This window comes from Homo sapiens, chromosome 16 (assembly GCF_000001405.40).
Source record: "Homo sapiens chromosome 16, GRCh38.p14 Primary Assembly".
NCBI classification, from domain to species: domain Eukaryota; kingdom Metazoa; phylum Chordata; class Mammalia; order Primates; family Hominidae; genus Homo; species Homo sapiens.
The window spans coordinates 72,957,405-72,977,788 of NC_000016.10; the positions used below are offsets into that span (position 1 = coordinate 72,957,405).

The 20,384-nt window shown below is 48.4% G+C and overlaps 1 protein-coding gene across 9 annotated transcripts in view, besides 1 other annotated feature; it reads right to left on the reverse strand.

Moving 5' to 3' along the window:
- The window catches only part of ZFHX3 (zinc finger homeobox 3), a 1,109,046-nt gene that overhangs the window by 174,520 nt on the left and 914,142 nt on the right, over positions 1-20,384 (reverse strand). For 4 of the 9 annotated variants that reach the window (NM_001386735.1, XM_047434166.1, NM_006885.4 and 1 more), the window contains one exon: positions 23-2,790. The exons of 3 other annotated variants lie outside the window; for them this stretch is intronic. In NM_001386735.1, the coding sequence (NP_001373664.1) occupies positions 23-2,741 (2,719 nt within the window). In that variant the 5' untranslated portion in view covers positions 2,742-2,790. Of the gene's footprint in view, positions 1-22; positions 10,516-20,384 lie in introns of those variants that run through there. 2 more of the 9 variants (XM_047434165.1, XM_047434168.1) reach the window with 2 other exon arrangements.
- Positions 3,872-4,372: an enhancer, noted in NCBI's record as "H3K4me1 hESC enhancer chr16:72995175-72995675 (GRCh37/hg19 assembly coordinates)". NCBI's record gives its function as "activates a minimal SCP1, AML or CMV promoter by ChIP-STARR-seq in naive H9 embryonic stem cells {active_cell/tissue: H9 hESC(naive)}" and the evidence as "EXISTENCE:reporter gene assay evidence [ECO:0000049][PMID:30033119]".

The following is a 20,384-nucleotide window of genomic DNA, read 5'->3' on the forward strand; positions in this document are numbered from 1 at the left end:
ACAAACACGTAGTCATCCTCACCTAGAGCAGGCGTCATGGCGGCCATGGGCCCGGCGGGATCCAGCTGGAATCCGCTCATCATGAACTGGGCGTCCGAGGCAGCACTGTCCATCTTCAGGTTGGGCAGGTTCATGTTCTGGGCCAGGTAGTATTGGTAGAGCTCGGCCTCGGCGGGTGAGGGCAGGCTGCCGAGGCCCAGGTGGCGGTTGTGTTGGATCTGGGTCATGTTCTGTTGCAGTAACATCATGTTATGCATGTGCTTCTCACTGGTCATGTGAATGCGGAGGTTCCTGGCCACGTTGGTCTCATAATCACACACCTCGCACCGCCAGGTGGGTTTGGTTTTTGGTTTGGTCGGCGAGGGGGCCCCGCAGGAGCTACTGATATTGGCTGCCGCCGCCGCCGCAGCCACCGCCGCCGCCGCCGCCCCGGCAGTGTGGCTGAAGACCTGCTCCCCCCCTCCATTCTGCAGGTTCTGCATGTTGTTGAGATGCTTGTCAGACTGCATATGAATACTGAGGTTGCCTTTGGTAGTTGTGGAGTAGTTACACACCTCGCAGCGGAAAGGCTTGTAACCACACGTGTAGCTCTCGCCTCGTGCCAGCCGGGGGTGGGGCTGCCCGCTTTTGCAGTAGACACAGGAGCCCCCCGGCTCCGGGTGCTTCTCCTTCATGTGTGCCTCCAGGGTCTGCTGGTACTTATAGTGCCAGTTGCACTTGGGGCACTTGAGTGTCTTACACGAGTTACGAGAATGCATCATGGTCATGTGGCCGCCCAGCGAGCGGGAGGAGCCCAGGACCGTGTCGCATTTGGGGCACTCCACGCCACTCCCCGAGGGGCACTCCCCAACCCCAAGCTCGCAGAGGGAGCCAGCGTGCTGGTGATGGGGAACGAAGCCCCCATCGTCACCCTCTGTGCTTTCATTTGGTTCTGGTGCTGTGGCATTGTCTTTATTGGCACTTTCGTCAGCGAAGTCCAGCCTCCTGCCGCCCTCTGCCACATTGGCCCTGACGCCCTCACTGTTAAAGCTTAAACGATTCCTCCTGTTCGCACCATCAAAGACAACAAAGGAAGAAGCAGAATTAGAACTAGTAGAAGCTGTGCCCCTCGACAGGGTCTGGAGCACGTTAGGCATTAAGGGGGAGTTAGAAATGCTTTGGTTTGAGAGAGCAAGGTCCTTTTTGCTGCTACTACCTGCTGCGGCCCCAGGCTCCTCATGGGGCCTGTCCTCCAGTTCCTCATCCAACTCGCTTGGAAAGAGTCCTTTGCAACCCTCGTCTTCCTCCTCCTCTTCTTCCTCCTCCTCTTCTTCCTCCTCCTCCTCCGCCTCTTCCTCCTCCTCTTCCTCCTCCGCCTCCTCTTCGGCTGGCTCTACCTTCTCAGAGAAGCAATCCCCGTCGCCCACTTCCTGCTTCTCTCCTTCTGCCGCCCCAGAGTCCTTGCCCTCTGAGGATTTGGTAGGACTGGAAGCCAGAGGCCCCAGGGGGACTGAGGTAATGGGGGTCTTCAGTACCGAGCTGGTGAGCCCGCCAAGGTTCAACAGGGTGCTGGGGGTCAAGAGACCAGCCTGGGGCTGCTCGGGGCCAGCGGCGGAGCCCGCTGGGAGAGCTTCCTCCCCTTCCATTCGAATGCCACTAAATTTACCATAAAAACTGTGTCCGGGGCCTATGAGGTTAGCTGTGGAAACTAAAGGGTGTTGAAAGTTTTTGTTTTTTGGTTCCAGAAAACTTACAAGGGGTTCCTTGTCTTTGCCGATCCCTTGGATGATAGCGGAGATGTTCTTATTGCTAAGAATTTTCCGCTCGTCTTCGCTCAGGGTCATTCGATGGTCATGCACCGCGTGGGTCACAAACGAACGGACGTACCCAAAGGAGAGTTTGCACAAGAAACACATCAGGATGGGCTTCCTCTTGCCATAGAGCACAAAGCCATCGAATTTGGACAGGTCCACATTGTTGGGAACATCTTTGGATACGCAGGAGCTTTTGGCAGAACCGTCGCTGTTCAGGTAATCCTTGTTGCTTTTGTGTCGCACGTCAAACACGCGGAAGCTGTGCAGGACGGGGCTGAGCCCCGCCAGGGCTGAGGTATTCGGGAAAGCCTGGTCTGGGCCCTCAAACCATTTCCCGAAGGATGAGGCTATGTGGAAAGTGTTGATGATCTGCGGGTACACGGGTGCAGCACACGAAGGGTCCCCTTGCTTGCCCCCCGCGCCAGGGAGAGAGTTCAGGAAAAGCGAGGGGAGAGGCCCACTGCCACTGCCACTCCCACAGGCGCCCCCGCCCTGGGTCAGCTGGCTCAGGCTCTCCACAATGTACGCGGAGCCGTCCGGCTGGTAGACGATCTCCCCGGCCAGGTTCTCCACGTCACTCTCCTCGTCCCCCTCCTCACCGGTGTCGCTGGCGCTCTCCTCTCTCAGGGGTGGCGGGGGGCGCGCGCTGGGGCAGTGGTGCTCCATGTAGGTCTGGAGGCTGGCAAAGGAGGCCGAACATTCGTTGCAGGTGACCTCCTTGCTGGCGGGCTCGGAGGGGGGCCCGGCCGACGCGGTGCTCTCCGCGAGGCGCTCATTGAAGGGGGCCCTCAGGCTGTCCAAGGGCCCGTGGCTCTCGCCTGTGGACTGCTCCATGCTACTGGGTTTGTCAGGGAGGTGGGTGCTGTTGAGTTCAGTCCATTGCTGGTGCTGAGGGATACCGCACCCATTGTCCTTCCCCGAGACGACGGGCGAGTCACAGCCTTCCATGGTAAGGCCTGCGTGGAGCTTTCATTGCACCCAGTACGGAGGCTCGGACCTGAAGGGCAGAGGCAAGGGGGGAGGAGGGAGAGAGGGGAAAGAGAGAGAGAAAGGAAAGAGGTTAGGAGGGCCGAGGCTGAGGTCCTACCGCACGGAGCGCTCTAAGAGGCTTCTGTCCACAACACAGAGACACAGGGCGGAGGGCGGGCCTGGGGACACTGCCCCACACGGTCCAGCACACAGGGGTGGCATGGCCGGGTCAACAGCCTGAGCGAGGGATATGGGGAAAGAAGGCCAGGAACAGCCCTCTTCGGCTTCGAATTGTCACCGCTCTGCCCCTGAAGACTAGCGGGAATTTCCATTCTTTGCCAGCATAGCTTCGATGGGCCACAGTGGAGAACGGACGCGTCATCTCTCCAGCCCTCTACGAGGTCACAGCCACAGCCCTACCACTTATGGACAGCTCACACGAAGTCAGCCCCGACTCCGCGCACTGTCTGTGGGTCAGGGGAACACAGGGGAGGGCTGAGAAGAGGGAGGTTCAATGTCCCTGGAAAAAGGACGGTAAAGTGGGATAACGCTCATGGATTTAGAACAATTGCAGCCGTCGCTTTTACTGACCATGGTTCTAGTTTGAGAAGTTCAAAGAAGGCGGGTGAGGACCCTGAGGTTCACAGGGCAGGTGTACAGGACTAGACACACTCCGAAAAGTCCTCTCCAGATCTGGGAGGCGTCAGTCCCATTTTACAAGCAGTAAAACAGAGGGGCTTCAATCTAAAAACTGGCTCAGTGCTAATCTCACCACCATGAAACAGAAGAAAAGATGGGTCCCCAGATTCCTGTCTCCTCCACCCATACCAGTCAAGCTCCCTGGCCTGTGACTCTAGCTGACTTCAGACTAAAACTACGTAGGTGCAAAACGTGAGCTTGGTATTTCCAGCAGGAATGGACCAGACTCTGGATCTGCCAACACCCCCTCCAGCAGCTTCTATCTGGCCCTGGCTGGAGGGAGTGCGTTCCCCACGTGCCTGGTGGTTTTTGCTATCAAGGATCTGAGCAGCAAGCCGAGACGGCAGCTGGGCTCGGCGAGCCCCAGCTCCACACCTGCCTCTTAGTTATTAGTCGCTACCCAACCAGCTGTCGTTCAGCCCTGGGGCTTTTCCATTTCCGACTCCAAAGTGCCACTGAGCTGAATGTGCCCTCTGAGACCTCATGTCCCTGGGGAGGGAGGCATCGGATCACGGCCGCTCTGCTCCTGCAGTAATATCATCGCAGGGGCGATCATTCCGTCTGGCCCTGCTCCTACAGGCAGCTCAGCACCTCGCAGAGCCCTGATCCTTTGCCCGTAGGTCCCCAGCCACCATTCCCCTGCTGCTCCTCCTGGAGAACATGTGGCTGCTCCTCCACCCACCATCTCATTCACACTCAGCCGGTGAAGGTTTCGGCCAGGTTTGATCTCACTTCCCTCCCTGACAGCCCCTATCTTCTCAATCTTTTTTTTTTTTCATTTCTTGATTATTGACTGCACAATGAGACAACAGCTCCCCCTCGGGAAAAACTGGGGAAGGCAGGTTTACCAGAAGTCTCAGGGAGAAATAACTTTTTGGAAGAATAAAGCTATGATGTGTCTAATACACACATGCAAACACATACCCCTATCTCTCCATTTATAACTTCAGATTTTGCAACCACAAAGTTCCATGAGCCTTAGAAAGGACATACTGACTTAAAACAGAGATGACTACAGTAAACCAAACCAAACCAAACCAAACCAAACCAAACCAAACCAAACCAAACAGCAAACGCAATGGGACTTCCTCGCAAGGCTGAGCCGGGATACAGGTGAGACTGCAGGGCGGCTCTTCTTAGGGATGCTTCTGATTGGCTGGATGACATCTGATTGATAGCTTGGGCCAAAAAGGTTGGCAGGCCTGAAGGGGCGGGAGGGTTAACAGCCCGATTGTAAAATCAATGTCATAAATGCTTGGTAAGTTACAGGAACATGCGGGAAGGGGGGGCCACGATTGATAAAGCAGAACAGCTTTGATGCTGCACCAGGGACTTGTTTATCGACAGCAAAGCCAATCTCCTCTCCAGCCTGGGCTGGGCCAGAGAAACCTGCAAGCGTTTACCAATTAATTGGTGGGCTTCTCTTGCTCCGTTCTCCTCTTATTCCTCCTCCTCTTCCACAAACTATCCAGCCAAGAGGCTGGGACTTTTAAAACCTCCCTTACTTTGTTTTCTACTCCAAAGCGGAAGATGTCAGGAAAGAATGACACTGTACCCACCTATGATGGTGGCTGGTGACCCTGTGGTGGTGACACTAGAGCCCACCCATTCACGGGGAGCAGCAGCCATGAGGACACGGGTCGGAGAGGAGGAACCCACTGCAGGACCCAAGCTACCTCCCCTGGGCCTCCTTTCCATGCGCACCAGCTGTGACAAACAGGCCCGTTTGCAGCCTTGCCAAACAAGCGTGGTTTGTGGACTTGAAGCATTATCCTCTCCGGGGAGCTTAAGAGACATGCACTGTCTCCTCCTGCCCCATCAGAATCTGCATTTTCACACCATCCTCAGGGACCATGCATTAAACTTAAGACACTCTCTGCTTCACTCCATCTTCACCAATACAGGTACCAAGCACAGCTCTTCTGTCCTTGGTACCTGTATTGCTAGGTAACCAGGGAAGGTCAGTCTTAGATTCCCTGTGGTCCCTGGGAGGTGCAGGGATGGAGATGGAGAAGAGGGGGACGCGCGCACAGAGGTAAAGAAGTCTCCCCAATCCGCCACATCCTGTGGCTCAAGGGTCTCAGGGCATCTACCACTCCCCCGCAACAGCCGGCTCTCTCTCGCTCTGTTTATCAGCCAGTCAATAAGAAAAAGGTAGTTCTTACTTAAGGAGGCAGAAGTCAACTCGGCAGGTCGATCAGCACTCTGTCTGTAAACACGGTTTCCCGTAAAATCAATGATCTTCAGTTACAGAGGGCAGCCTGGGAACCCAGTGGGTCCCCGCACTTTTCCAAGCAGCCCTGCCAGCCTGACACGCACACCTCTCTTCAGGCTCCCTCCACGTTCTGTGCCCCTTCCCAGTACTTCCCTAGTGCCAGGGCTAGCTGGTACAGGTTCACACCCCTCCTCCCTTCCTGCAGCCCGCTTCTCTGCTGGTGGCACCCGGAACTCCCTCTAAAAAATGTCCAGGTATTCTGCTCACAACCCCCAATGTTGCACTCAACATATGGGCTTCAAGAATTCAGTTAGATTTTAATAGAGCACATCTCTCCAGTGAGAAAGTTAAAGGGAAGATAGGAATGACCTAGCTGGCTCACTGTCTGCTTAGCACTTAAATCTGCCATCTGAAAGGTAATCTTGTACAGAAGAATTCCAGCACCTTCATCAAGTATCCCCCAACTCCTGCTCATCTTCCAAGCTCCCTTGGAACCACCTGTAAAGCCCACTGCATCTTTGCAAATGTCAATCTTTACTTTTCAAAGATTGTTTAAAAGGATAAAACTCTACCCTGTTACCCTGTATCTCCCTATTAATCAAAACGTTCATCTCCCTCTTTAAAAACATGTGCTGATGACAGTTTTATCCTGTTCCCTTGAGGCAGAACTGGGTAAAATGCAACAGTTTCAGGGAAGCTGGGGTGGGAGGGGTGCAGTTATGACGAAGGGGAGGGGGCTCCTGCTGTTGCTCCAGCTCCCGGAGAATGAAACATGAACAGTCGCACTGTGTAATTTTAAATTGTTAATTAGCACAGGGTTAATTAGGCAGTCCTTTCACAAGAGGCTGTCTGGTAGGAAACCAAGAAGGGAAACAAAGGGGAAGGGAGGAAAAACAAAGAGAGAATAGAGGCAGTGAGAAACTGTTGCCTCCAAGAATATCCCATGCGGGATCACTCAAGAGACATCAGCCAGCAGGCAAGGATGCCTGATTCCCTGGGTGATCCCCTGCTCTGCCGGAGGGAGAAGCAGTGAATACCGCCTTCCTACAGGCGACCAGGCAGCATACATCAAAGGCCTCAGAAGTGCACATCCCTCCCCGTTGACTCAACAATTCCCCGTTCTAGGAATTCATCATAAGGAAAGAACCCAAGCAATGCATGGAGATTTAAGTTTATTCATGAAAAACATAACAGGAAAAAAGAGGAAAAATTTGGGCAAAAACAGACCCTAAATAAATTACAGTGCACAGAGCTCCATATGTTGTTATAAAGATGCTTTCTTCAAAGAAACTATTTATAAGCATGGGAAAATGATCATACAGATGCTAAATGAACACAGCACATATAGGTATTATGGAGAGGAAAACAGGAGAGACTTATATTACAATTTTTACAACTGTGAATTCTAGGGAATGAGGTATAGGTGACTTCATTTCCTCCTATGTGCCTTTATTTCCCAAAGCTCTTTAAAATTAAAACCATCATTGAGACAGTAGGATTGCTAGAGCCCAGGAGTTCAAGGCTGCAGTGAGCTACGATCGGGCCACTGCATTCCAGCCTGGGTGACAAAATGAGACTTGGTCTATTTAAAAAAAAAAAAAAAGGAAAAAAATTGAAAACCATCATACTGGAAGTCATCACTTAATGAGTTAGGTGTTGTGTTAAGACCCATGGGTACAGCATCACTTTGATCCTCATACCCACACTAGGAGATAGATACTATTTTTATCCCCATTTTAGAAATGGGAAAACTGAGGTGGCCCAGTTATGCAGCCTGACTGACAAACCGGAGAGTATGGGTGTGGAGTCTATGCTTTCAGGCAGTTTTCCTTTGTCACCCAGGCTGGAGTGCAGTGGTGCGATCTCAGCTCACTGCAACCTCTGCCTCTTGGGCTCAAGCGATTCTCCTGCCTCACCCTCCTGAGTAGCTGGGCCTACAGGCGACCACCACCACGTCTGGCTAACTTTTTGTAGTTTTAGTATAGATGGGGTTTCACCATGTTGGCCAGGCTGGTCTCAAACTCCTGAGCTCAGGCAATCTGCCCGCCTCGGCCTCCCAAAGTGCTGGGATTACAGGCGTGAGCCACCGCACCTGGCCTGTTTTTCTTTAATGTCTAATTTTCAAAAGAGAACACTAGAACATCCCTACATCTCACATTCACACTCAGTCTTTAAGCACCCAGGGACTGTCCTAAGGTGATGGGATCCCAGGACTGCTCATGCAAAAGAACGCTGGCATCTCACCCAAACGCCCTTTTCTTGCTTGAGAGTGATGGGGGTGAGGGGAACAGTTCAAAGCAGACTGATTTGCTTGGATATCTTTAGGCAGACAAGAGAGGATAAAGGAGGTAGGAGAAGCTGCTGCAAAGAACTGAAATGTAGGTCCAATATCCTGATTTTTAAAGAAGGACAAAAGGCAGGTTCCAGAACCTACAGATCAGGAAACATATTCATTCGTTCAGCATTTACTGAGCATGTACTATGTGTCAGTCAGATGCTACAGAATCCATGCTAAAAGGTCTCGGCTTACATTCTTGTAGAGAAGAGAGACCACACACAAATACACTCAAATAAAAAGCAATATAAAGTAATATAAAACAAGAGAAGGGGAAAGAGTGATGTGTGTGCATCGTTTTGGAGAAAGTCACAATGTCAGAGTGACTTAATGGATATGGAAATACTTCAAGAATATGTTGTAAAGCATATACTGTAAGTTCTTCATAGTTTTCAAACAGATTCAAGTTGCTGGAAAAGAATTTTAGGGGTGGGATGATCCTGAGGAATTAGCGATTAGCTGTAGGTCCAGTAAGAAAACCCACATAAAATAAACCGAAAAATACCCTTACTTAGACTTAATGATCTGAGAAATACAATAAAGTCTGCTTTTTTATCTTAATAAGGTAGCACAAAATTTATCATTTCTTTATATCCAGGATGGCAAAATGGCTTTCAGATAATAAACTGTGGCCAATTTTATAGCCGACTAATGATGCCATTATTTTAAGCGTCAACACAGAGGTCCGTGTGTCTCGGGACACGCCAACAAGGCTCTGTCTTGTCCCTATTTGGCTGACTGAAATCAACAGCTTGAGGAACAAGACCATGCAGGCATGTCCACTTGCAGAGCACACCAGACTCGAGGGAACAATTAAAATGCTCAACGGTGGAATCAAGACTGAGGAAAAAAATCTCCATGAGTTGGAACAACAGGCCCAAACTAACAGAACAAAACTTTAGATGGAAAAACATGAAGCCCTACATTTAACTTCAGGCAATCTGCTAAACCAATAGAGGATGGAAGAGACTTGGAGTCATAAGAGTTCATGCAAACAACAATAACAAAATATCTAGGAGTTTTACTTGATGACAAACTCAGAGGAAGCCCGAAGTTGGCATGGTGGCCAAAGACCATAATGGGGCCTTTGGCAACAGTACTACTCTGTACCTGTTGGAGCTCAGCAGGTCCACAGCCCATCACTTTCTCTGTCTGCGTGAATAATGTTAGGAACCACTCCAGGGAATCTCCTAAGAGAGATACCAACAAAGAAGCTGTAGCCTCATCGGAATGGCTGAACACACACACCATTCACGGGTGCAGGGAAGAGAAGTCCCGTTGCAGGGCAAGGCAGCTATCCTCGGCTATATGAAACCCTGCCTGCCACAGGCAAGTGGGTTTGGTTCTATGGGTTCCACCTAGTTCCAGGGTTGAATTAGGGGCAATGAGGGGAATCTATAAGGAAAGAGAGGTGGGGTCACTATAAATGAAAATCTTTCTCAAGATTATCACAGTTCCCAAATGGAATGTTTATGCTGTGAAATACTGCACTCTGTGGCTTCAAGAATGGAGAAGGGGATTGTGCTATGGCCAGGGGGCTGTATCAGGCAGCCTATGAAAGGTGAAGATTCTTCTCATTCCTGGGTGTTATCTATGGGCTTGTCTGTCCCCACCACAAGGCTATGAGTGGCATGAGATCAGGTTCCCTGTGCTATTCATCTCTGAGTCCTCCACATCTGACATGTAATAGGTGCTTAATAAAACAATGGGGGAAATAGGAAAAAAGAGGATCCCTGAATCCATTCCTTTTCTTTTTTTCTCTTAGTTTAAGACGTGTCTGGTGTAACCATTCTCCACAAAATGGAACTGGGGCTCCTTGGAGACATGGCCAATTCTTGGGCTGGAGCAGGAAAAGTTCAAGATGAGCTCGGAGCATCTACTTGTGCTCAAAGAATAAGGAAGATGTGTCAAAATGACCTAGGAGTGGGTTGGAGGGGCTCCCAGTGGCCACATCAGGGACAACGTGAGCAAGAAAATTAAGTGACAGTAAGTGATTGCAACCCAATGTGTAACATAACAATCCCCAAGTCCCTACTTTAAGAAAAAAAAAAGTGTGGGAGAAAGGAAAGTTCTTCCACAGGGTAGAAACTCAACTAATAAACGTAGAAAAAGAGTATGGAGTTAGAAAATCACCATTTGATAACCATCATCATCTTCATCATCATCCACTCAGGGAAGAATCAATGGGTACCCAAACTAATGGATGAAAGTTTGAATACTTCCGGGAGCGGTGGCTCACGCCTGTAATCCCAGCACTTTGGGAGGCCGAGGCGGGCAGATCACGAGGCCAGGTAATCGAGACCATCCTGGCTAACACGGTGAAACCCCGTCTCTACTAAAAATACAAAAAAAAAAAAAAAAAATTAGCCGGGCGTGGTGGCGGGCGCCTGTAGTCCCAGCTACTCAGGAGGCTGAGGCAGGAGAATGGCGTGAACCCGGGAGACACAACTTGCAGTGAGCCGAGATCGTGCCACTGCACTCTATCCTGGGTGACAGAGAGAGACCCCATCTAAAAAAAAAAAAAAAAGTTTGAATACTAACAGGATATTTACAATCTCAAAGTCTCTCCCCACAGGATACTTCTTAATTATAGCAGGAAAAAAAAAAACAACAACAATAACTTCACTGTGGAGAACCTGGCAGACACCACCTTCATTGAGTGATCAAAGTTCCCATCACCAGCAGTGGGGCAAACAGACGTCATGTGCCTCCTGGTAGGATACACCGAGAGGAACACAACATCCCTTCCCTGGTGTTCCTGTCAAAAACGCACAACCGGAATCTAATCATGAGGGAACATCAGGCAAATCCAACTGAGGACAGTCTGCAGAATGTCCTATGCTTTTTAGAAATGTCAGGGCCATGCAACGGAAAGACAGACTGAAGAACTGTTTCAGATTAAAAGAGACTAAGGAGACATGACTAATGAACGTTATGCATAATCTGGGATCTTCTTTTCCTCTAAAGGACATAACTGGGACAACTGACAAAATCTGAATAAGGTTTTGTAGATGGGCTAATAGTGGCATATGAATGTTAATTTCCTTTTTTTTTTTTTTTTTTGAGACAGAGTCTCGCTCTGTCGTCCAGGCTGGAGTGCAGTGGCGCAGTCTCAGCTCACTACAACCTCTGTCGCCCAGGTTCAAGCAATTCTTCTGCCTCAGCCTCCTAAGTAGCTGGAACTACAGATGCCCACCACCACGCCTGGCTAATTTTTTCATATTTTTAATAGAGACAGGGTTTCACCACACTGGCCAGGCTAGTTTCGAACTCCTGACCTCCAGTGATCCGCCCACCTCAGCCTGTCAAAGTGCTGAGATTACAGGCATGAGCCACTGTGCCCAGCCTCATTTCCTAATTCTGATAACTGCAGTGTGGTTATAAAAGAGAATGTCTTTGTTTTTTAAAATACACACTGGTATATTTAGAGGTGAAGGGGCACAATGCCTCGATTTTCAAATGGGTTAGGAAAAAATATGTGAGTGTGTAAGTGTGTGTATGTGTATCAGTATATACATACATACACATACACATATATACACACATATATATGTACCTACATATATACAGCAGGAATAAATATATGAGATGTTACCATAGGAGGAGTCTAGAAGGAGGACACGAGAATTCTTTGTTCTACTGTTAAAACTTCCCTGTACACTTGAAATTGTTAAAAGAAAAAGAAACTGTCCAGAGTAAAAATTCGACATAGTAACCCCCCAAAACTATAAACGAAGAGTCAACCCACCCTGACATGCGTATCTTTAATCTTTATGTGAAATTTGCTCCCAGCAGAGCTTCAAAAAAGGAAGTGGCTGTGAGGCTGGACAGAGAGGTGTAGAGAGACAAAAACTGAAAACTGGTCTCCCCTTCCTCCAGCCAAGAGGCTTCTAGGTGGAGCCTTCCAGTTGGAGAAGACAAATAAATGGCCATTCCAACTTGGGCAGAACTTCACGTAATACAATACTGAGCCGTTTCCCCGTGACACTCATGATCCTGACTGTGGGCTGATTTCCCTAGTTCCCTAGGGAACTTTCGCAAAGTTCCCTAACTTTGTGAAAAGTGATTCTAAGTAAAAGGACGAGGGCAGCCCCCAGAGAAAAGGAGAACTCCAGCAGCCCCCAGAGTGTGAGCATTGTTAAATCCAGGCTAAAACATATCAGAGAGAAAAACACACTACACTGAAGCAACTATCCCCTCACTAACCCCACCTCCTTAAAAAAACAAAAACAGAAAAACAAAGGCAACCCAGATTCCAAGAGAAGGTGAAACCTCCTTCAAGGGTCAAAGAAATAATACCTGCATCTGTTTAGCTTGGAATCCACTGAAGAACCATACCCAGTTCCCTTCTGTGTTTTTTTACAATAACAGTGTTTGTCTACTGCTGCTGCACAGAAGTCAATATGTGTTAAGCCATACATAGGTGATTCCATCTGCTTGGTAGCAATTTCCCAGCAGCCTTCAGGATTGCTCTGCAAGTGTGGCCAGGTCGGAGAACACACAGGTGCTTGAACAGGCGCCTTGTGCTGCCGGACGCCCACTGCCCAGAAGGCCCAGAGAATCGCCCAGGCCGTGGGCCTCCATGTTTGCTAATAAGTGCATCTGTGCTATTTCCAGCATGAACATAAATCAGCCTAGAAGTGAAAACTGCTAGCTCAGCCCATTCTGCAGGGAATCCACAACCACCATGATATTCTGGTTACAGTGGAGTCGTGGAGGGCAACAGGAGAGAGTCGTGACAGCGGAGGCAGGTCTAGGAACCCAGTCTGTGTGTACTTAGAGGAATTAAAAAAGATTTTTTTTTTTTTTACTATATATGTAAACATACTCAGAGTTCAACCACCATGAATCAAAACCAAACCCATGAATATAATAATAAAAAGCAAGACAAACCAGCTATTATTTATGCTCTGCCTTGTTCTAAAAAGGGATTTGGGGCAATTTAAACAGCTATAGTAACTGTATCTCACACTTGAGTACGTAAGTCTCTACCCTGAGTCACGTGGAGGCCTTTCCACCATTTCCACAACAAGAAAGACAAGCATCGTGTGCCCATGACTGGCTTGACTGGTGCTCCTGACTTGGATTTAATTACCATAGAGCACGGATCCCCTCCCGGATTTGCAGCAGAACCTCCTTTCACCAAATACCATTGCTTTACCTGACTGTACCAACCCACCTCTCCTACCTTGCAAGCCCGCAGCTCACAACCCCAACCTTCACCCATCTTCTGGCACTTTCCCGGCTAAACCGGACACCTTCTGACACTAACCATAACCAACACTTATGTGTTTCCTTTGCCAGCACTCAAGGCTTTTTCATCTCCTCCCAATTTCCTCAAAGTCCCTCTCCAAGATCCTATTTCTACTCTCTCTCCACTCTTGCTATTGGGATTATAGGGCAAAAGCTAGGAGACAATGTAAAAACGTGCCATCTGGCCCATTACAGTTTCAATCTGGCATGTCATGATGTCAAATTTATGTTAAATCATGTCTTATGATTAAAGTTGTGGGAGTTCATTATTTTAAAAATTTGGATATGTACAAAAAGACTCAGCAGCTAAAGTTAAAATCACTGACAATTCCACCAGCTAGAGAACCACTGGTAGGTAGTTTTTCGGGCTTTTTTCCTCTGCACGTTTACAGATACAGATTTTCCTTACCTACCTCGGATCACGCTGCTGTTTATGTAGGCCGCCCTTTTAACCTAATTTAGTATGAAATTTTTCCTATGCCATTCAATATTCTTCATAAGTTAAAACTAATGGCTATATAGATACTATATCTTATACACATTGCATAATTTCCACCAAATGCTATTATTAGACATTTAAACAATTCCCAATATTTTGCTGTTCATTTTGCAATAAGGGCCCTTAAATCTTTGTACACATATAACAACAACAACAAAAACAACAAACCAAGTAGTAGCTCCATTACTGTCCACCTGGTTGAATCAAGCATGGTTTTGAGCACTATTTTTCTGAACATGTTGTTTTGTTTGATCCTTGCGGCAGCCCACTTTACAGGTGAGGAAACTGAGGCTTAGAGAGTTAAGTACCTTGCCCAAGCTGCATGCTAGTTTAGTCGGCCTTTGAAAGTAGGTAAGCCTCCCTTACCACTCTAAAACTAGGCTCTTACTCATGACGTTGTGTCTGTATTGCCTTAGGATGCATTTCTGGAAGTAGAGTTGCTGACTCAAATGCTAGGAACATTTAAGGCCCTCTGGAACGTGCCAAACTGTCCCCCAGGAAAGTCCTTTCCACTCCTGCTTGCACTGGTGTGTGAGCACCAGTTTTCCTGCACCCTCATCAACAGTGGGTATTTACTTTGTTATTTTTAAAAGTCCGTTTGACAGGCAAGAAATGGCATCTCATTTTAACTCACATTCTTTACTCATAAGACAGAACCCATCTATGGATATTTACTGGCAGTCTACATTTCTTTTGTGAACTGCCTATTAATTTTTTTTTTTTTTTTTTTTTTTTTGAGACGGAGTTTCACCCTGCTGCCCAGGTTGGAGTACAATGGGGCGATCTCAGCTCACTGCAACCTCCACCTCCTGCATTCAAGCGATTCTCCTGCCTCAGCCTCCCAAGCAACTGGGATTACAGGTGCAGGTGTGCACCATCACGGCCGGCTAATTTTTTGTAGTTTTAGTAGAGTCAGGGTTTCACCATGTTGGCCAGGCTGGTCTTGAACTCCTGACCTCAGGTGATCCACCCACCTCGGCCACCTAAAGTGCTGGGATTACAGGTGTGAGCATTCATGCCCGGCCTTGCCTGTTATTTCTATGGCAGGTGTGTGTTGTCCTTTTCTGAGTGAGTAATGAAAGGGTTTTGCAGAATTTGACTGGTGATCCCTCCCCCTTGAGTTCCTACCAGTCCACCATCCTATAAGCTCCTGGACAGGAGAGAGTCTGACCTACTTACACTGCCAGTTCAGAAGATGTTCTCTGTCCTTCAGATCTCAACTCCATCCAAAGAGTGGACTCTGTCCACTGCTTCATTTGCTCCACATCAATTTTCCTGTATTCAAGTGAAGTCCCCCTCCTTTATGTGATTATAAAGGGCCAAACTGCATCAATCATTTTCAAGCTTTCTTGTGCAGTGGAACCAACTATGCGGCACAATAAAAATACATATGGATGTCAAGCCCCAGCCCAGAGCACAAGACTAGCTCTCTGAAGGGCTGGGTATCTGCTCCGGGAGGGTGGGAAGGCACTATGTCGCCAAGATTTCTGTCCTCTGTCCAAAGTCATCGGTGTCCTCCTGGTCTTGGTCAATGGTTCCTCCTCCTCTACTTTAAGCTTCAATCTCCCCTGCATTCAAAACTGCTTCCCCCTCTACTCCTTGAAATCTTCCCCCACTTCACTTCTGACATATTCTGGCCCTCCTCCCACCTCTGTCATCTCTACATTGCCTGTCCTCTCCCCATTCCTACAGCTCTCCATGGGTACATTTTCCACTTATTCGATAAAATTCTTTTATCATTTCAACTCACAGACATCTCTCCTCCCTGTTCTCCTGTAGGTATTTAAGCGTCATTGTACTCTTCCCCCTTGGCTCTCTGCTCTTAACTCTGTACATCAGCTACCTTAACTACTTCTGCGGTTTCAATTACTGAAATTACGAGCTGACTCCCAAAGCAAAAATGTCCATTCCTGACTTGGCACTTGAATATGTGTCTCATACTTTCAGAAGACCAGAAGATGTCTGTACATGCCTAGTGTCCCACCAACCAAGACTCAGCATGGCTCAACATGTCCAAAGGACACTGCCCCCTCACTGTCGGCCCTGGTCTCTCTGGAAGGAACTTTTGGTGCCATCTTTGCAGAAAACAGAAAGGAAAGATCAGTCTGGCTTTCCCAATATCATGTTCATCCCCATCCTTCCCCATCCAAGAAACAACTACCAAAACACATTCAAACTGAAACTCTCCAGAGCGGTTTCAAATCACCCCAAGATCTACCACTAACACTACCATTCAATCACCTGTGTCGTTTCCCTCCAACTAGGATTCCTCCCCATCATCTCTGCATTCTGATGCATTATCAACTCTGTTCCCACAACCCCAGGCCCTTTGAATAGCCTTTCTCTTCCTCAACACTCATCCAAACCTGGGATATCCTTAAAGAAGCACAAGCTCAAGTTGTACTTGGCCAATAAAATCCTCGCCTATTGGCCAGGCATGGTGGCTCACACTTGTAATCCCAGCACTTTGGGAGGCCAAGGCGGGTGGATCATCTGAAGTCAGGAGTTCAAGACTAGCCTGGCCAACATGGAGAAACCCACTAAAAATACAAAAATTAGCCAGGCGTAGTGGTGGGCGCCTGTAATCCCAGTTACTTGGGGAGCTGAGGCATGAGAATTGCTGGAACCTGGGAGGTGGAGGTTGCAGTAAGCAGAGATCGAAATCACTGCACTCCAGCCTGGGCGACAGAGTAAGACTTTGTCTCCAAAAAAAAACTCTACTCGGAAGGAGAAAAAATCAGGTATGAACTACATGCAAGTGAACCCCTGGGTTCCCGCTTCCTGGGAAGGGCTATCAAAGCCGGGTTCACTAGTTTAATAGAAAGATGAGTCTACTATGGTTCCTAAGTTCCTATTAGGTAGCTCTTAGTCAGCAGAACACTAATTGGAACAGAAGTAAGTGCTATCATTCAAGGCTGCACAAACCCAAGAGAAATGAACTTGGTCAGATTCTTTGCACTTGGCAGTTTGGGGAATGCAGGCAGAAGCAGCCAGGAGCCTTAAGTTTTCTTTTATTCACATCGAATCTACCTGAGAACAAATGAAGAACATGGTACAGCTGCTTTTCTCTGGGCCTGTGGCAGCTAATTAGAGCACCTGGGAAACACCATTCAACGTTGCTGGACAGAGGTACGTCCTCGCAATGATTCCGCCAAATGGCACACACAGGACAATGGGGAAAACCTGTAAGGGTGAGGTGAGAGCTGGCCTTGGGCGAAGGAAAGTTTCCCACAGCAGTTATCTCCAAAATGACTCTGAAACAAGGAGTGTGTTTTCCTCTCGGCAGGAAGAAAACCACTCGGTGGGCTCACCATCGGCAGCTTGCTCTGGCACGAGGCTCCGGAACTGGCACCATGACAAAACAAACAAGGATTGCCCTTTGGAGGCTCACTGATAGGGCAACACACACACACACACACACACACACACACACACAGCCTCTCACCAACACGGGCACAGCGAGTTCTTCAGATATCCCTGGCCTGCTGGCATAAAGAGCTTTTCAAGCAGTGGGAAGCCAAAGGGACACTCAACAAAGCAGTAATGGCCACTGTAAGGTAGAGACATTGGTAAAGGCATGAAAAGGGGATGCCTACTGCAAAAGCAAAATCGTACACGGGGTCTTCCCCATGCCTTGACTGGGCACCCTCGAGAGACCCCTTTGGGATGTGCGTACTAAGCTTCCACCCAACTTCCTATCTGGTGGAGGCATGCTATGCACAGAGACCCCATCACTGAATTCCCTCCTAGATAACTCACTGCACTAGACTGAAGGCTTGAGAGGTTTATTTCATCATGAGTAGTCCTCAAATCCTAGAGGCCCAGAGAGTTGCTCCTATCTCGATTCTCTTTCTTAGGGTAAAGTGAACCGGCAGCAAGAACTACCACCAGGACGCAAGGGCTTTGAGACAGACTGAAGGGGGCATGGATTCTGCTGGCACTCTGAGTTTGTTTGAAAGACTTCCAAATTCCAAAGCTTAAAACCCTATCAGGGCCAGGTGTGGTGGCTCATACCTGTAATCCCAGCACTTTGGGAGGCCGAGGTGGGCGGATCACTGGAGGTCAGGAGTTCAAGACAAGCCTGGCCAACATAGTGAAACACCCTCTATACTAAAAATACAAAACTTAGCCGGGCATGGTGGCAGGCGCCTGTGATCCCAGCTAACTCAGGAGGCTGAGGCAGCAGAATCACTTGAACCCGGGAGGCAGAAGTTGCAGTGAGCTGATCGTGCCACTGCACTCCAGTCTGGAAGACAGAGTGAGACTCTGTCTCAAACAAAATAAAATACAATACAATCAGGAGAGAGGGGTGTACAGGGGGAAGAGAGGGGATCATGAAACGTGATCACATGTCCCCTTCTTCATGGCCCCTTCTCCATCCCACATGGTAATTACAAAGCCCATTATTTGCACTGTTACTTTTAATCAAGAAATCCATATTGAGACATACTTACCACTGGCCACTTCAAAGAGCGGCCCTGATAGTTAGCTAAAATAACAAAGGAAAATTTCTTCTTGAAGTGTAAGGATCCAAGAGCTCACACTTCCTTAACCTTCCAGAAGCCACCCAGAGAACCAAGTGACTGTGGGCAATAATTACACCCTCACCAACTCAGCAAAAATGGCACAGATGGTCTTTCTCCTCTTGCTGCTCCCAATGCTGCGTTTGGGTCAACAGCTGCTAAGAAGAACCACCAAGGCCACGTTAAATAGTACTTGGATTAATTATGCTTGAAAATCTCTTATCTGAGCACTGCTAAGACAGAACAATTGAGTTTGGGAATGAGTGTGGTTACATATTTTTCCTTAATGGCTTCCTGAACACCCTGGTTAGGTCTGGTCCCAGGGGAGAAATTGCCAGCTCAAGTCATAAAATGTGATCAATGTAGATCAAGACCCTGTGCTAAGTGTCTAGGATGAAAGAGGGGAAGCGTATTTGTGCAAACACACAAACATATGAAAAATGCATGTTAACATAAAGAACTTCAGCTTTCTTTCTGAAGCTGCACCCTCTCTCCTTTCATGCCTAGAGCTCTGCTCATTCCACCAAAACTTCCAGCCAGCAGTTCTAATCTTGGACAGCGCCAGAACAAATTTTGGCAACTGTTCCTGCAGTTCCAAAAGATTCCCATGTTAAGCCATGGTAAGATTCGGGGAATCAAATCTGGATGGTGAATGGGGCCAATTTCTTTGACTTCAATAACACAGAGGCTACTGGGGTTCCAGCCCCAGTGGTCATAGTTTTAAGCTCCTCTGCATAATACTTATCCAACTACTCACTGGTTGTTCTAATGATTTTTATTCATTCGTGCCACAATATTTATTGAGTGCCTACAACATACACAGCGCGTCCCTCCTGTCGATACAGACTCCTACGAGCTTGCTCTCAGTAGCGTCCAGGCAGGCAAAGGAAGGAACTGGAAGGCAGTGATCAGGACCCCGGTAGAAATGGACTCAGCACTCCACGTGGCCACTGGGATTCACTATGTCAACACAATTATCTGGGTTACTGCTCGCCTCATTCCAGAGTCTACCTGCTCTGATGCCAGAATCTGTCCTTCTATTAACAAGGTGTGGTCACAGTGAACTGACTGAGGTCCACTGTGTTTAAAAACACTGACCATGGCATCTCATGGCTGGACAAGTGGCACCGCCGCCCTGAGACCCTGCAGTGCTGGGGAACCCGGAGGCCCTGAGACCTCGGTTCAACTCCGCCAGTGCCCCGGGAGTTCTAACCCCCACGGGGGTCTCGCCTTCAGTCCACATGGGAGTCACCCATCAAAGGCATTTTAGGGATATTTTAGGTTGACCATTTCCTGACAGCCCAACATGTTTTTCTCTGGGATGAAGGGCATGCCATCCCACAAATGGTGATGAGAAATTGCAGAACCACTGAACCGGCCTACACATAAGCATTTCTTCTCCTTTGATGTCGAGTTGACAAGAAAGGATATGATTTCATTTCTACTGGCTCCTCTTAGGTAACCCAACTGGTTTCCCACTTCCTCACCTGCCCTTTGCATTCCCATCCTGGTTTCTTTGGCCTTGGTTCCTCTTTAAGCTGGGACCAGCGACTTTATAAACTCCACACACAGTGCAGCAGGTTCCAGACGCAGCGTCTGGCCTCCCCAGGTCTTATGAAGAGGTGCTGAGGGTTGGCGGGTTGACACACTCACTGCACTGCACAAGGAGGTGGCTCAGCCCAGCTTTCACGTGACCAGTGTCCATTTATAGGGTCGCATGCTCACGACACATGCTGCATTATGGGGAATGCTGCAGAGAGGGGAGTCTTATTCTTAAAGGAGTTAGAATTGAAGCATAAAGTCTAGGAACTAACATGAACCACCTCTTAGAAGTCTATGTACAACCTGCACTCGACTTTGAGTTGTTCCCCAACTATTAGTTCCCTGTCGTGGGTCAGTGGGGGGAAAAAAATCACTCTCCACACAGCTCTTGAGGAGAGGCTGGGATCTCTACGATTCACTTGGTGTCTACCTGCAGGGGACTCAGGGAAAAAAAAAGCAAAAGCCACACCAGCATGAGCATATCACACAGAAATTCTACTGACCCCAAAAGCGGGGCAATGAAAATCTGTGCACAATTTCAAACCATGCACCCCAG